This window comes from Homo sapiens, chromosome 11 (genome assembly GCF_000001405.40).
Source record: "Homo sapiens chromosome 11, GRCh38.p14 Primary Assembly".
Classification (NCBI taxonomy): domain Eukaryota; kingdom Metazoa; phylum Chordata; class Mammalia; order Primates; family Hominidae; genus Homo; species Homo sapiens.
This window is the reverse complement of record NC_000011.10, coordinates 43,953,651-43,970,313: the sequence shown is the minus strand read 5'-3', so window position 1 is coordinate 43,970,313 and position 16,663 is coordinate 43,953,651. Positions and strand designations below refer to the sequence as shown.

Below are 16,663 nucleotides of genomic sequence, written 5' to 3'. Positions count from 1 at the left end.
GGATCACGTGAGCCCAGGAGGTCGAGGCTGCAGGGAGCTCTGATCATACTACTGCACTCCAGCCTGAGAGACAGAGCAAAACCCTGTTTCCAAAAATAAAAAATACTTATTACAATGAGGATCACTCGAGCGATCCTCCCACCTCATTTTTTAATTTTTCTGTAGAGATGAGATCTCACTATGTTGCCCAGGATGGTCCCGAACTCCTGGGCCCAAGCAATTCTTCTGCATCGGTCTCCCAAGTTCTGGGATTACAAGCTTGAGCTACCAAGCCTGGCCCTAAATCTGAAATCGTTTAAAAATTAAAAGCTACCAAGAAAAAAAAAATCCAGAACAACTCCAACCCTCCCCCTATACCTATTTGAGAGGAGCAGGGACAAGGTGTATGTAGGGGAGAGAGATCTGATGGAGAATTGGAAACCCACTCAGGGGGTTGTGCCTCTCTGCAGACAGTTGCTTCTGGCTGGCTGAGGACGGGTGCTGACAGTGAGAAACATTATTTCTGGCCCGTTTCCAGTGAGGGAGGAAATAACATGAGGAGACAGAGAAAGCTCTGTCAGGCTAAGTGGCAGGGCCCTGGGGACCAGCACCAGGGAAGTGGGAAGCTGGGGTGTGGGCAGGAGGTGGGGTCCTGGCAGGCTCTGCGAAGTCAGCAGGGCTTGCTGGGCTGCTCCCTGGGAACCCGGGAGTCACTGACCCAGGATTCTCTCCCACCACAGGGAAAAAGGAAGGAGGGGAGAAGAGACTGGGAAGAAGAGAAGGGGAGAAGCTAGCAATGTAGTTAGTTTCTACTAACTTACTCTCTGCCAAGCACTGTTCTGGGTGATTTGCATATACTACCTCACTAATCTTCGTAAAAAATTTTTGAGATAACCTCTGTTATTATTCCCATCTTAAAAAGCTGTTTAAAATAAGAAAATTGTTTAAAAAATTTTTTTATTATTATTTGAGACAGGGCAGGGTCTCACTCTGCCACCTAGGCTGGAGTGCAGTGGTGTAATCATGGCTCACTGCAGCCTTGACCTCCTGGGTTCAAGTGATCCTCTTGCCTCAGCTTCCCGAGTAGCTGAGACTACAGGCGCCTGCCACCATGCCAGGCTAATTTTTGTTTTTGTTTTTGTTTTTTTGGTAGAGATGGGGTTTTGCCATGTTGCCCAGGCTGGGCTCGAACTTCTGACCTCAAGGGATCTGCCCTCCTTGGCATCCCAAAGTGCTGAGATTACAGGTGTGAGCCACTCTGCCCAGCATCAAATAAGAAATTTTTAAAAATTACTTAATAATCTGGCAAGAAAGTATGGAACACCCAGAAGCCAAAAAGTAAGTGAAAGTAGGAATCTAAGGGCAGTAGGCAGTGCAGGAAGGGGCCTTTGACCTGGAGGCTGTTTGCTGAATCATGTGAGCCCAAGCTCTGTTTCTCATGGGCTGATAGAGATGCGAGACACAGGAGTCATTTCCCAGAGCCCACCCAAGATAGGTGACCCCATCCTACTTCCTGCACAAAGCTGAAGCTCCAGCGGTCTCCATTGTCAGGTTAGGGAAAAACTAGTTGTGAATCTCACCACTCGCCATCCCCACAAAAATCTACGAAGAAATCTCAGCACTAAGTTGAGGGTAAAAGCATTTTCCCTGAGAATTCATAATCCCAGATGGGCTGTCAGTGGTTTCGAAGCCTGAATTCACAATCCCTGATTAAATTAAAACATCTCAAGCTGAAGTTTTAGATGATAGTATCCCTCCAGAGATTTTGGAATGAAAGTAAAAGCAAGTGGCAGCAAATATCTTCTTCTTTTCCTGGATGTTCAAAAAGCAAAAAGGTAAGCAGAAAAATAATGCAAACTCCATTATATAAACCACAAACTCAACAACACATAAAGACGGGCAAAAGCAAAGGTTTCACACAAAAGCCATGAAGGTGAAGTGCACAGAGATTGCTTGCGGGGGTTGGGGGGCAAAGGGCTGTGTGGGTGTGGGGTCGTGGGTAGGGGACTGGGGCTCAGGGGGATGCTGAATAGTGAGTCAGCTTGGGAGTGGCTGATTTCAAAAAACCTCTAGCAAAAATACTTTCACCCTAAAGGGTCTCACCCTAAAGCAGAGTTCCTTCACCTTGGCACTATTGACATTTGGGGCTAGATAATTCTTTGTTGTGGGGGTGTCCTATGCATTGTAGGGTGTCTGGCAGCATCCCCGGGTTCTACTTACTAGATGCCAGTAGCATCAACCCCCACCCCAAAGTATGACAACCAAAAATGTCTCCAGACATTGCCAAATATCCTCAGAGGGGCAAAATTGCCCCTGGTTGAGAACCACTGCTCTAAAATAATAATAAACCGAGATCCCTGGTATATAACACAAGTTACAGATTTGAGGAGCATGGAGTAGAGATGGAGAAGCCTTTTTGTGATTGGCTGGAGTGGGTGAGGCAACATATGTGTAGAGAAAATAGCATGATACCCAGTGGCAGCAGATCTCAGAAAGTGCTGGCAAAATTCCATTCCCTGAAAGAAACTTCTACCAATAGCTGGGCATGAAAATCCAACTCGTTCAATGGCTTATAATTTTATAACTTGAGTCAGCACAGAATCAATACAAAGATACTAAAGGCAAAGTGTGGTAAAGGTCAGTAAAACCTGGTAGACAGAGAATGCTGCTGAGAAAAAAAAATGTTATCATGGAATGGATCAAAAACCTGACCAAACGGTGTTCTGTGGATTAATAAATCTTCATAAAACGATTACCTCTGTGAAGGAAGGCCAAAAAATGGATATAAAACAAATCAGCAAAGAAATGGGAGAGAAAGACTATGGGGGGAGATGAAGTGAGAACTGGAAGAACTGAGGCCGGGCGTGGTGGTTCACGCCTGTAATTGCAGCACTTTGGGAGGCTGAGGCAGGTGGATCACCTGAGGTCGGGAGTTTGAGACCAGACCTGCCAACATGGTGAAACCCCGTCTCTATTAAAAATACAAAAAATTATCTGGGCATGGTGACAGGTGCCTGTAATCCCAGCTACTCGGGAGGCTGAGGCAGGAGAATCACTTGAACCTGGGAGGCAGAGGTTGCAGTGAGCCAAGATTGCGCCATTGCACTCCAGCCTGGGCGACAAGAGCGAAACTCCATCTCAAAAAAAAAAAAAAAAAAAAAAAAAAAGAAGAAGAAGAAGAACTGGAAGAACTGAGGGAAGTAGTACAAGAACAAACAAAACAATTTCAGAAATGAAGATGCATTTGGAAGGAGAACTTAGCACTATAATGGAAATGGAGGATAGAAATAGAAAAGTGAATATAATGAGATAGAATGAAGAAAGTGGATTTGTTAACTAGAGAGAAAATGATAAATATGGAAGAAAAGGCAAAAGAGAGACAGCATATACATAATGGGAATCTCTAAAGAAGAAAAACAAAACAATAAAATTCGATAAATTTTTAGAAATAGAAGGTAACTTTCTTGAAACCAAAGATGTGAATCTAACTAAAAGGTGATAGATGTGCCAGGGAAAGTTGTCCTAGAACAGTCAAATCCAAGCCTCCTAATAAAATTATCAGATGAGTAGCCAGGCCAAAAAAGAAAAAAAAATCAAGTCACTCATAAAAGGACTAGTCCCAGCAATATTCAATACCAAAGAGTGGCACAAAACTCACAGGCTATTTAAGCCATTTATATATCTTCTTTGGATAAATGTCAGTCAAATCCTTTGCACATTTTTTAATTGGGTTATTTGTCTTTCTGTTGTTGAGTTGTAAGAGTTCTTTACATATTCTAAATACTAGACTCTTACCAGATATATGATTTGCAAATATTTTCTCCCATTTTGTGGGTTTTTTTTTCACTATTTTTATAATGCTCCTCTATACATGAAAGCTTTTAATTTTTTTTTCTTTTTTTTTTTTTTGAGACAGAGTCTCCCTCTGTTGCCCAGGCTGGAGTGCAGTGGCACGATCTCAGCTGACTGCAACCTCTGCTTCCCAGGTTTAAGTGATTCTCCCATTTCAGCCTTCCAAGTAGCTGGTATTACAGGCATGCACCACTATGCCCAGCTAATTTTTGTATTTTTAGTAGAGACAGGGTTTTACCATGTTGGCCACGCTGGTCTTGAACTCCTGACCTCAGGTGATCTGCCCGCCTTGGCCTCCCAAAGTGCTGGGATTACAGGCATGAGCCACTGTGCCCAACCAAAATTTTCAATTTTGATGAAGTGCAATTTATCTATTTATCTATTTTTTTCTTTAGTTGCTTGAGCATTTGTTGTTATATCTAAGAAACCATTGACAAATCCAAGGTCGTGAAGACTTACCCTTATGTCTTCTTGCAGGAGTTTTACGGCTTTAGCTCTTATATTTAGATCTTTGAACCATTTTGAATTAATTTTTGTTTATGGTGTGAGGCAAGGCCCACACCATAGACATATACAAAAATGCATGTGGATATACAGCTGTCACAGCATCATTTGTTGAAGAAACCAGTTTTTACCCATTAAATGGTCTTGATACCCTCATCAGAAAAACAATTGACTATAGATGTATGGGTTTATTTATGAACTCGCAATTCTGTTCATGATCTACATGTTTATCCTAGTACCACATTGTTTTGATTACTGTAGCTTTGTAGTAGATTCTGAAATTGGGAAGTGTGCCTTCCAATTTTATTATTTTTCGAGATTGTTTTATCTATTCAGGGTGCCTTGCAATTCTACATGAATTATAGGATCAGCTTTTCCACTTCTGCAAAAAAAGTTTTTAAAAGGTCATTGGTATTTTTATAGGGATTATATTGAATCTATAGATCAATTTGAGGAGTATTGTATCTTAACAATAGTAAATCTCCCAATCCATGAATATGGGATATAGTTCCATTTACTCAGGTGTTCTTTATTTCCTTTCAGCAATGTTTTGTAGTTTTCGGTGTACAAGTCTTACAACCACCTTGGTTAAATTTATTCCAAAGTATTTTATTCTTTTTGGTGCTATTAATAAATGGAATTGTTTGCTTAATTTCCCTTTCAGATTGTTCATTGTTATTATATAGAAATTCAACTGCTTTTTGTATGTTGATATTATACCTTGCAAAATTTCTGAATTTGTTTGTTATTAATAGCTCTAAGAGTTTTTGTTGTTGTTGTTTCTTTAGGATTTTCTACATATAGGATCATGTCCTCTGTGAACAGAGACAGTTTTACTTCTTCCTTTCCAATTTGGATGCTTTTTATTTCTTTTTCTTGCCTAATTGCTCTGGCTAGAACTTCCAGTACAACGTTAAATAGCAATGGCAAAAGCAGGCATCCTTGTCTTGTTCCTGATCTTAGAGGGAAAGTTTCAGCCATTCATTGAGTTTGATGTTAGCTACGGGTATTTCATAAATGTCCTTTACCTGGTTGAGGAAGTTTCCTTTTATTCCTAGTTTCCTGAGTGTTTTTCTGATGAAAATGTGTTAGGTTTTGTCAAATGCTTTTTCTGCATCAATTAAGAAGTTCCTGTGTTTTTTTACCCTTTGTTGTCTTAACGTGGTGTATTACCTTGGTTGATTTTCTTACACTGAATCACCCTTGCATCCTGGAATAAATCCCATCAGTCATGGTGTATAATCCTTTTTAATATGCTTTTGGACTTGTTTGCTAGTATTTTCTTGAGGATTTTTGTATCTAGATCTATAGGAATATTGTTCTGTAGTCTTTTGGTGTCTTTGGCTTTGGTATCAGGTTAATGCTGGCCTCATAGAATGAGTCGGAAAGTGTTCCCTCCTTTTCTATTTTTTGAATGATTTTGAGGTGTACTGATGTTAATTCTTCTTAAAATGTTTGGTGGAAATCATCAGTGATTTCAGAAATCTATCAGTGAAACAACCACCTGGCCCTAGACATTTCTTTCTTTTTTTTTTTTTTTTTGAGACAATGTCTCACTCCGTCACCCAGGCTGGAGCACAGTGGCGTGATCTGGGCTCACTGCCACCTCTGCCTCCCAGGTTCAAGTGATTCTCCTGCCTCACCCTCCTGAGTAGCTGGGACTACAGGTGCCCACCACTGGCTAATTTTTTGTATTTTTAGTAGAGACGGGGTTTCACCGTGTTAGCCAGGATGGTCTCGATCTCTTGACCTCATGATCCGCCCACCTCAGCTCCCAAAGTGCTGGGATTACAGGCATGAGCCACCGCGCCTGGCCACAGCCCTAGGCTTTTCTTTCACGGGAAGTTTTCTATTACTGATTCAACCTCTTTACTTGTTATATATCTATAATTAATTGTTTTTTTTTTAATATTTTCAGATTAAATCTCAAAATAAAATCCAACTCTATACTGTGTGCAGGAGACACACCTAATGCAAACTCAAGAGGTTGGAAAGTAAAAGATGAGCAATGGCATACCAGGCAAATAAAAAAATAAATGTCATGATTTGATTATCCAACAAGATACAATTCTGGCCAAAAAGCATTAAGTACATTGGCAAGGAGTTATGTAATATATCATAGTGTCACTCAAATTAAATGCAGGTATAGCTATTATAAATATCTATGCAACAGATAACCTAGTTGTCACATTCACCAGGCATTCATTATAGCAATGCAGGGAAAATAAAAGCATATATATGGTAAGATACTTGAATTCACTTCGCATGGGGGATCACAGGAACAGTAAAGCAAGAATAATACGTAGTTAGGGTGAGGCAGTTCTGCTGTAGCACAAGAGACATACACCACAATGCCTGAGAGAAAACACAACTCTATCTTTCTCTCTTGTAACAATTCAGAAGAGCAGACAGCTTTGCTTCATTCAGTAGTTCAGAGACCCAAGTTTTAACATCCTCTGGGGCCATGTTATCATCTGCTCTGTAGAAGCCAAGTTACCACCATATCCAAGTTGCTCCCTCTGAGAGAAGGGAGAAGAGATTGTGAGCTGGCATGCCCACGATCTTGGGCCTGGATCCAGAGTGACAAATATTACTTGCACTCACATATAACTGGAGAAAGCTTGTCACTGGGTAAACCCAAGGCACAGAGTTGGGTGGGCTGTCAATTGTCTAGCTTCATGCCGTGAAAAAGGGAGAGAACAGATTTTAGGGGATCACTATTAATCTCTGCCATAGCCCATCCCTCCAGCCACGACATAGCTAGGCGTGCTTATTTCACTATGAATAGAACACACTCAACCCTTCTCCATGGGGCACAAACCAACGTCCATCCAGTTACTGTGCCCTGTGTATCTGATGCATAGACCTCTCCACAGGCTCAGATGTGTTCAAGCTAAAAGACAATTCATTTGTCCCACCCATTTGCCAAATAGACAATGGAGGAATATGGAAAGGAAAGCCACAATAGATACCCCCGATCAGAAGAGAGAACACAGGCAATACAGAGTGGTCCCTGGGCAAAACCGGAGCAGGCAGAACATCTTCCCCTGCCAGGATAATTCTCCCTTGTCTATTATCCTCATCTGAAGTGGGTGTCAGAAAATGCATCTTCCTTGAGGGCTATCTGGTGACGCTAAGCAGTTACAGGCTTTTACGGTTTCTCTGGAAAAAACAATTCCCAGAAAGATTTATTAGCTTTCAAGTCTATTTGCTTCCAGTCATTTCATGAGCCAGGATGCTATTTTCTTACATATTTCTCAAGCCTGCTTCATTTCTTTGCTTCCTGGTTTAGCCACGCCTTTTTTCCTTGCATTAACGACAGCTATTTTGAGAAATGTTGAATAATAGGCGTAAAAGAGAAGCAATGCCCTTAGTCTAATCTTTGCCTTGGGGCTGGATCCTTTGGATAGATGTTTTGCTTAATTGGATAGTGTTTGAGAAAGACTCGGAGCCACAGCTGTCTGTTCTGCTGTTTGGGTTACAGAAGCCCCTGCTGCTCTAGACACTTGCCTTTTCCTTTCATCTCTGTTTGAAATCTGGCCAGTCCTTGCGAACGTCATCTCTTTTCTTTGCATACCTTCCTAAAAGGAACAAGGAACAGCCAATACTCACTAACCTTTCAGCTCTTCCCAAATTCTCTTTTACTTACAGCCTTGGAAGGTACAAGATCTCCCTTTCTGGCTATTGCAGGAGAGAATTTCACCTATTATTTGTCCAAGAGTCCGTAGATTTCCAGCCTATGATATCTGTCCTCCTGCTGCCTGCTGCCTGACAACTAGGTTTCCATTATGGCAGCGCCTCACTCTTAGTACCAATTTTTATATTTCTTAGGGCAAAGATTGTTGACTCAGAGAATGACAGAGAGGGAGGGAGAGAGGGAGGGGGAGAGATGTTACAGGTGGAAGGTGTCCATGTTCTGGGCATCTTGAACAAAGAATGGGACAAAATGCACAAAGTAAGAAGGGATGAAAGAACTTATTGAAAAAGAAAGTACACTCCACAGTGTGGGAGCAGCCCTGAGCATAGGGGCTCAAAGGCCCTGTTACAGAGTTCTAGTGAGTTTAAATACCCTCTACTTGGGGTACGCCCTATGTAAATAAAGAGGATGAAGTAAAGTTACAAAGTCATTTACTCAGTGTATGCCCTATGGAGAGGATATTTCCTGTTATAGCTGAAGTGTGAATCGGCCTTATGTTCTCTACCTCCAGAGCCTATTTTCCTGCATCAGAAAGAGGAGAGAGGAGAGAGAGAGAGAAAGAGAAAGAGAGAGAGAGAGAACAAAACAATATGACCAAAGAAAGAAGTTTCCTTCTTTCTCATGTGGTAGAAAGAGGTAAGCATTCCAGGCAGGTGGGTCCCATCTAAATGTTCAGTCCACCTCTGTGGGCTGTGTCCCCATTAGCATGGTAGCAGCTGAACCACACCCTATCTGGGTTGCTGCTGGTAGGAAGAAGGTAGGAAATGCAGAAGAGGCATCTTTACGTCACAGACCTAGGTCTAGAAATAGCACACATATTTTTACTCATATTCCATTGGAGAGAACTGAGTCTCATGGGCCCATCAATCGATAAGAAGGGTTGGTAAATATAATTTAATCTTGTCCCCGGGAAAAATAGGAGAAGAGATTGCAGTGACTATTAGTCTGTATCACAGATACAGAGGCCATTAATATTTAATAATATAATTTATTGGGCAGACTTGACACAGGAAAAGAGTAAGCACACCATATCTTCATGTGGCCATGAAATTTTCAGTCACAAAGAATAATCTCAACAATGTCCCAAAAAGATAAAAGGTACTATAGAAAACATCTGGCCACAATGAAATTAAAGAAAAATAAATTAAAAACTAGGTCAGAAGCCAGGCGCGGTGGCTCACGCCTGTAATCCCAGCGCTTTGGAAGGCCGAGGCGGGAGGATCACCTGAAGTCAGGAGTTCGAGACTGGCCTGCCCAACATGGCATAACCCCATCTCTACTAAAAATACAAAAAAAATCACCAAGTGTGGTGGCAGGCACCTGTAATCCCAGCTACTTGGGAGGCTGAGGCAGGAGAATCGCTTGAACCCAGGAAGCGGAGGTTGCAGTGAGCCAAGATCGTGCCTCTGCACTCCAGCCTGGGTGACAAGAGCGAACCTCCATCTCAAGGAAGAAAACAAAAAACAAACACACAAAAAAACTAGATCAGAATAGAAATATATTTCTCCACTTGGAAAAATTACAACTAGCATTTAAACAACTTTTGGGTCAAAGAGGAAAGACAAACTGCAGTATTGCTTTAAAGCAGTAAAAAACAGGCTGGGCATGATAGCTCATGCCTGTAAGCCCAGCACTTTGGGAGGCCGAGGTGAGCAGATCACTTGAGGTCAGGAGTTCGAGACCAGCCTGGCCAACATGGTGAAACCTCATCTCTGCTAAAAATACAAAAATTAGCCAGGCATGGTAGTGCACGCCTGTAATTCCAGCTACTCGGGAGGCTGAGGAGAATCACTTGAAACCATGAGGCAGAGGTTGCAGTGAGCTGAGATAATGCCACCGCACTCCAGCCTGGGTGACAGAGTGAGACTCTGTCTCCAAACAAACAAACGAAAAAGGCAGTAAAAATCAAATATAGTGAAAGCAGTACTTGGAGGAAAAGCCATAGCCTTAAATATCTATAAAAATAAATTAAAGGAAAAAGGAATGGCCCAAAACAAGTTCAGTGGACTCAGCCACTTTCTATGGGGTTGGCATTCCATGGCAGACTAAAGACAGCTAATTGATAAACCTCAGAACACATATGACAGACAATAAGATGGGTGTTATGGTACATGGGGCTAGGGATAGCAGTCTCCTGGGTGCCAGCCTCTCCTGGAATGTCTCACACATCCTGGGCAATGGTGGAAGTGGGTAGCACTGTCCGAATGCCCCCTAGAAGACCAGAAGGGAGGTCAGAGTTTACCTAAAAACCACCCAGCTGGTCCCAAAAAGCTCCTGGTGGGGGCCGGAGCAGGGCTGTGGGGCAGCGGCACATTGAAGGGGGTCCCAAGCCTCCTGTGGGTTGGGGCTCAGGCTGTTATTTTGAGTCTGGCGTGAATTATTCAGCACACCACAGTCCAGCCCAGAGCTTCTGGGACTCTCCCCAAGTGCGGGAAGAGGAATGGGGTGGGGGTGCTGTGGTCTCAGAGAAGGTTCTGCCTCTGTTTCCCCATTCATGCATGAAGGAGGCTGAATGCCTGGTCTCTACAAACCCTGCCTGCCTGAATCTCCCTGAGGGCCAGGATTCTAGGATAGGTTTACCAGGACTTAAAGCTGGGAGGGCCCTCAGGGAAGGAGAGGGGAAATTGTTTGTTGAAAGCAAGACAGCAAGGGCAGAGTAGAGCCAGGGCTAGGGTCTGCCACCGCCCAGTCCCAGCCCAGGACTCTTCCTGTGTCTCTTGCATCACTCCCCATCCCCCACTGCTGACAGGGAACATCCTCCTGGTTGGACGTAGACTGAGGGAAATGGCTTTGCATCAGTTAGGCTAATTCCAACTGCTATAATCAAGAGACCCAGCAGGAATGCACTGGTTTGGAAGGAAGGCAGAAGTTAATTTCTCTCGCAGCTAGCAGTCCATCTTGAGGCCACATTCCACATCCACAGGCAGCTCAATGTCATGAGGATCTCTAGGCATTTCCTCCTGCTTGGTCAACGTCAGGCCATGGATATGGCCCTGTTCTGTCTTTTGGCAAGAACAAGCACATGGGAGCAACATGCTCACAGTCTGCAGGCCTAGGCCAGTGTGGTGTGCATCGCCGGCTCGCCCATTCCACTGGGGAGAACCTAGGCGCGTGCTGTGGTTTGATTGTGTCTTCTCCAAAATTCACATTGACATGTAATGCCCACTGTGGTGGTATGAAAAGGGGAGGCCTTTGGGAATTGAATTGATTAAATCATGAGGGCTCCACCTTCATGGATGGATTAGTGCCTTATAAAAGGGCTGGAGGGAACTAGCTTGGGCCCTTTTCTGCCCTTCTACCTTCTGCCATGTGTTCATCCCCTCCAAAGGATGGAGCAACAGGACGCCATCTTGGAAGCAGAAAACAGACCTCACCAGATACTTGAGAAACCCAAATAAAATTCTAAGCCCCCAGTTGACCCCCTGTTGGCCAAGGGCACCTCAGAGAAAGCCTGGAAGCTGAGTTCATGGCCATGACAGGATAGGAGGTTGAAAACTGCCTTAGACTTTCTTCCCTAAGGGCTGAACAGAAACCTGCTTTTTCAAAAGACTCCACACTGATGATGCCAATCACCAGCTTATCCTCCCAGGTGCAGAACAAAGATGAGATTGTAAACCAAAAATAAAATTGTAAGCCCTCCGATAGACTGAATGTGTAACTGCCCAAGGGGTTCACATTGCCTGCTGCCTAGACAGAGTCAATTTATCAAGACAGGGGAATTGCAATAGAGAAAGAGTAATTCATGCAGAGGCAGCTGTGCAGGAGACCAGAGTTTTATCACCTCTCAAATCAGTCTCCCTGAAAACTTGGGGATCAGAGTCTTTCAGGATAATTTGGTGGGTAGGGGGCCAGTGAATCAGGAGTGCTGATTGGTTGGCTTGAGGATGAACTCATAGGGAGTCGAAGCTGTTCTCTTCTGCTGAGTCAGTTCCTGGGTGGGGGCCATAGAACCAGTTGGCAGGTCCAGGTGGGGCCATCTGGTTGTGAGAAATGAAAAACCTGAAAAGACATCCCAAAAGGCCCATCTTAGGTTCACAATAGTGATGTTACCTTCAAGAGTAATTAGGGAAGTTGCAAATCTTATGACCTCCTGAATAATCGCTGGTAAAATTTAGAATTCCAGCCCCTCTCATCTTGACCTGGTGGCTGGTGGCCTTTCATTTGTTTTACAAGAACAATTTAGCCTTTTGGGAAGGGCTATTATATAAACTATACACTAAATTCCTTTCCAAAGCTAATTTGGCCTATGCCCAGGAATGAACAAGGACAGTTCAGAGGTTAGAAGCAAGATGGGTCAGTTAGGTCTGATATCTTTTACTGCCATAATTTTCTCAGTTATGATTTTTGCAAAGGCAGTTTCCACTGGACCCCCCGCTTGACCAAGGGGATTCCAAAGAAACCTGAAAAACTAGTTCCGGCCATGACGGGAAGTTGTTGGGGGGGCGGTCACACATGCCTTGTTACACCCCCTCCCTTTGGAGCTTAGGCACAACTGACCAGCATTAACATGAAAACAGATCATAAGACTGACAAAACACTCTTTGTAGCAGTAAGATACCAAATTCCAACCTGACTCTGGTATAGAATCACATGACAGAGAGCAGGGCCTGAAGGAAATCAAAGTATTTTATTCCAAAATATAGTTCTTTGTCATATTTTGAAATGGCCCTGCAAACTGTCTGATGTTGTGGAAATTTGCATCTATAGAGAATCTCCTTCCCTTCCTAGGTCTTTTCCAGAGAGTCTGACGCCTTTTAAGGTCTGATAAGAGGCATTTACCATCTATTCCCTCTGAAGCCTGCTACCTAGAGGATTCATCTACATCATAAGCACCTTGGCTTCCACAACCCCTATCTTAAGCATTTCTTTATATTGACTTCAGACTCTTCAGGCAAAGCTTAACTCTTTTAACCAATTACCAATCAGGAAATCTTTGAATCCACCTGTGACCTGGAACCCCCCTCCTCCCACCCCACCCCACTTTGAGATATCCTAACTTTCTGGACTGAACTAATGGATACTTTCCATGCATTGATTTATGTTTTTGCTTGTAACTTCTGTCTCCCTAAAATGTATAAAGCCAAGCTGTAACCCAACCACCTTGGAGACATGTTCTCAGGCTCTCCTGAGGCTGTATCAATGGCCATGGTCCTTAACCTTGGCAAAAGTAAACCTCTAAATTCATCAAGACCTATCTCAGATACTTTTTGGTTTACAAGATGGATTGTTCCTTCGCCCTCCCTGAGATGTTCTGCTGCCTCTATCCCGTTTTTCTTCAAACCTTCACCTTATCTTATGTAAAATATAGATTCACTGGGCACTAAGTCTCACATGTAGGAAACCATTCACCTCACTGCTGTGCCCCACCCCTCTTTTAAGAAAAATGTATAAATACTAAACCACCTGGGAGGCTCTTTGGGAAAAAAACAGCCACAGATGCATCTGTGACTCGCATTTTTCCCAGGCATGCCCTCAAGCTGGCTCAATAAACCTCAATTGATTGAAACAGTCAATTGTCTCAGTCACTCATTTTGGTTGTGAAACCACCTTTACAAAAATTGTAGGCTGGGTGCAGTGGCTCACACCTGTAATCCCAACACTTTGGGAGGCCAAGGTGGGCAGATCACAAGGTCAGGAGATTGAGACCAGCCTGGCTAACACAGTGAAGCCCTGTCTCTACTGAAAATACAAAAAATTAGCCGGGTGTGGTGGCACGTGCCTATAGTCCCAGCTACTAGGGAGGCTGAGGCAGGAGAATCACTTGAACCCAGGAGGCTGAGGTTGCAGTGAGCTGAGATCATGCCATTGCACCCCAGCCTGGGCAACAGAGCGAGACTCCATCTCAAAAAAAAAAATTGTAGCAGTGAGAAAATTATGACAGAAAGAGACCTGATCTAATCAACCCCCTCTTGCCTTTGTTAATCAAGTTTAGCCTAAAGCAGCCTCCTTACATATTTAAGTTCAGCCTAAAGGTTTTTCTGTACATTGTGAACTATAGCAAGTGGAGGTGTAAACCAACCGTAGCCCACACCTGTGCAAATCACTGAGTTTTGGCCAAACGTAGCCAACTGTTTGTAGCCAACTGTTCGAACTGTGTTCAAATAAGGCAAACGCTGAGCTGTAAAGACTCCAGTTGTTTCTGTACCTCACTTCCGATTTCTGTACCTCATTTCCTTTTTTTTTTTTTTTTCTATAAATCTTCTTTCATCATGTGGCTGCACAGGAGTCTCTGAATCTTCTGTGATTCTGGAGGCTGCCCAATCAATTCATGAATCATTCATTGCTCAATTAAACTCCTTTAAATTTAATTCAGCTGAAGTTTTTCTTTTACCACCTTTAACCTCCAGACTGCCCTTAGTCATTCCTGAGCCGAGGCCAAGCTAATTTTGGGAGTTAGCTTGGCCTCAGCTCAGCAATGACTAAGGCTAATGAAAGCCCACCAGGCTAGGAGGAAGAGGAGCTTGAATTGTGCTAAGGTGTAGACATAAAAAATTGTCAGCCATTATTCCAGAGGTAACAAGATTTGCAACTCCCCCAATTACTCCTGCAGATAATGTCACTATTGTAAAACCAAAGATTGGCCTTTTGAGATGTCTTTTCAAGTTTTTGCATTTCTGATGACCAGTAGCTCCACCCGACTCACCTTCACCCAGACCCACTGAACCCCACCCACCAGTCCTGTGGCCCCAACCAGAAGTAGACTCCGTGGCCCACCCAACTATCCTTAGAAAACCCTAGCTTCCAGATTTTCAGGGAGATTGGTTTGAGTAATAACTCCATCTTCCACGTGGTGTGGCCAGCCTCATATCAATTAAACTCTTTATCAGGCTGTGATCTCTGAATTGGTCTCGTCTGTGCAGTGGTCAGGAAGATCCCACTGGGTGGTAACAGTTGTCACACCAATCCTGCAGCCACTTTGACTTTAGACTTCCCAGACTCCAGAATGGTAAGAAATAAATTTCTGCTCTTTATAAATTACTAGTCTAGGGTATTTAGTTATAGGAGCACAAATGGAATAAGACAGTCCATGACCACGCTGGTTGCAAAGGAAGGAGGCTGAGGGGTTTAGTCTAGCTTTGTGCCAAGGGAGGTGCAGAAAATTGACTTTTGTGGACCATTAGCAGTCTTCACTGTAGTCACCTGACTCGCTACCAGCTATTTATGTTGATACAGGAGACAGAAAGAAATTATTTAGGCAGATAGTAAGAGCAACAGAGTTCTCAGCAGAATTTCCCTTTTAACAAAAGCAGCCCCCAAAATCATTTCTTTCCTAACAAAGAGCAATCTGAAAAATCAAGCTGCAGATAAGCAAGCTGGAAGCTTGCACAGGTGAATGCCGGCAGCTGGAGGCTCCCTCTTTCCTTTTCTTTGTCACCACATGTACAGTAAAGATACAGGGCCGGGCACGGTGGCTCACGCCTGTAATTCCAGCACTTTGGGAGGCTGAGGCAGGTGGATCACTTGAGATGGAGAGTTCGAGACCAGCCTGACCAACGTGGAGAAACCCCGTCTCTACTAAAAAATACAAAATTAGCCGGGTGTGGTGGCGCATGCCTGTAATCCTAGCTACTCAGGAGGCTGAGGCAGGAGAATCACTTGAACCTGAAAGGCGGAGGTTGCAGTGAGCCGAGATAGCACCATTGCACTCCAGCCTGGGCAACAAGAGCAAAATTCCACCTCAAAAAAAAAAAAAGAAAGAAAGAAAAGAAACAGCCAACATGGCACCAGCCAGGTAGAGAACCCATCTGCATAATAAAAGATTAGGGTAAGGGAGGCCAGATTTTCTCGCTCTATGCAAATGGCACACCTGGTCTGACCAATCTTTTGTGCCTTATATAAATCAGACACCGCCTCCTCAAGCTCATCTATAACCCCGCCCCCATTTTGCTGCAGACCAGAAAACCCGCTTGGGACCCCTCTCTCTGCAGGAGAAAGCTCTTCTCTTTCTTTTGCCTATTAAACCTCCGCTCTCAACCTCACTCCTTGTGTGTCTGTGTCCTTGATTTCCTCGGCGTGAGACAACAAACCTCAGGTATCACTCCAAACAATGAGGCCGCTTCGGTATGATACTTCATCCCATAACAAAACACATTTGCTCATCTCCAAGGAAGTCAACCCCCAATCCCATCTACTTACAATTCCAGGTCAAAGCACAGGATATCAGAGAGTGAAAGTCCTCTCCAGAGCCACATGTGGCTCCTCATGGTCCCGTGACATAGAAACTGCACGACAAGTCACCTGTTCCCACCACCCCTTCCCGTCACCTTGCACATCCCAATACAGCTGTGGACAGGTTACCGAAAAGGGGTCCCAATCCAGACCCCAAGAGAGGGTGCTTGGATCTCTCACAAGAAAGAATTTGGGGCGAGTCCATAGTGTAAAGTGAAAGCAAGTTTATTAAGAAAGTAAAGGAATAGGGAACGGCTACACCATAGGCAGAGCGACCTATGGTTTGTATGGTTATTTTTCGATTATATGCTAAACAAGGGGTGAATTAGTCATCAATTTTCTGGGAAAGGAGTGGGCAATTCTCAGAGTTCAGGGCTTCTCCCCTTTTACATCATATAGGTGAACTTCCTGACATGGCCATGGCATTTGTAAACTGTTGTGGCGCTGAGGGGAGTGACTTTT

The 16,663-nt window shown here is 43.7% G+C and overlaps 1 protein-coding gene across 1 annotated transcript in view, besides 1 other annotated feature; it reads right to left on the bottom strand.

The window, feature by feature from the left end:
• Positions 1–16,663, bottom strand: part of ACCSL (1-aminocyclopropane-1-carboxylate synthase homolog (inactive) like) — a 138,910-nt gene that overhangs the window by 89,664 nt on the left and 32,583 nt on the right. The window lies entirely within an intron of this gene.
• Positions 14,512–14,738: a silencer, noted in NCBI's record as "fragment chr11:43977126-43977352 (GRCh37/hg19 assembly coordinates)". NCBI's record gives its function as "represses an EF-1alpha promoter that drives an FKBP-Casp9 reporter gene in an ReSE screen in K562 erythroleukemia cells {active_cell/tissue: K562}" and the evidence as "EXISTENCE:reporter gene assay evidence [ECO:0000049][PMID:32094911]".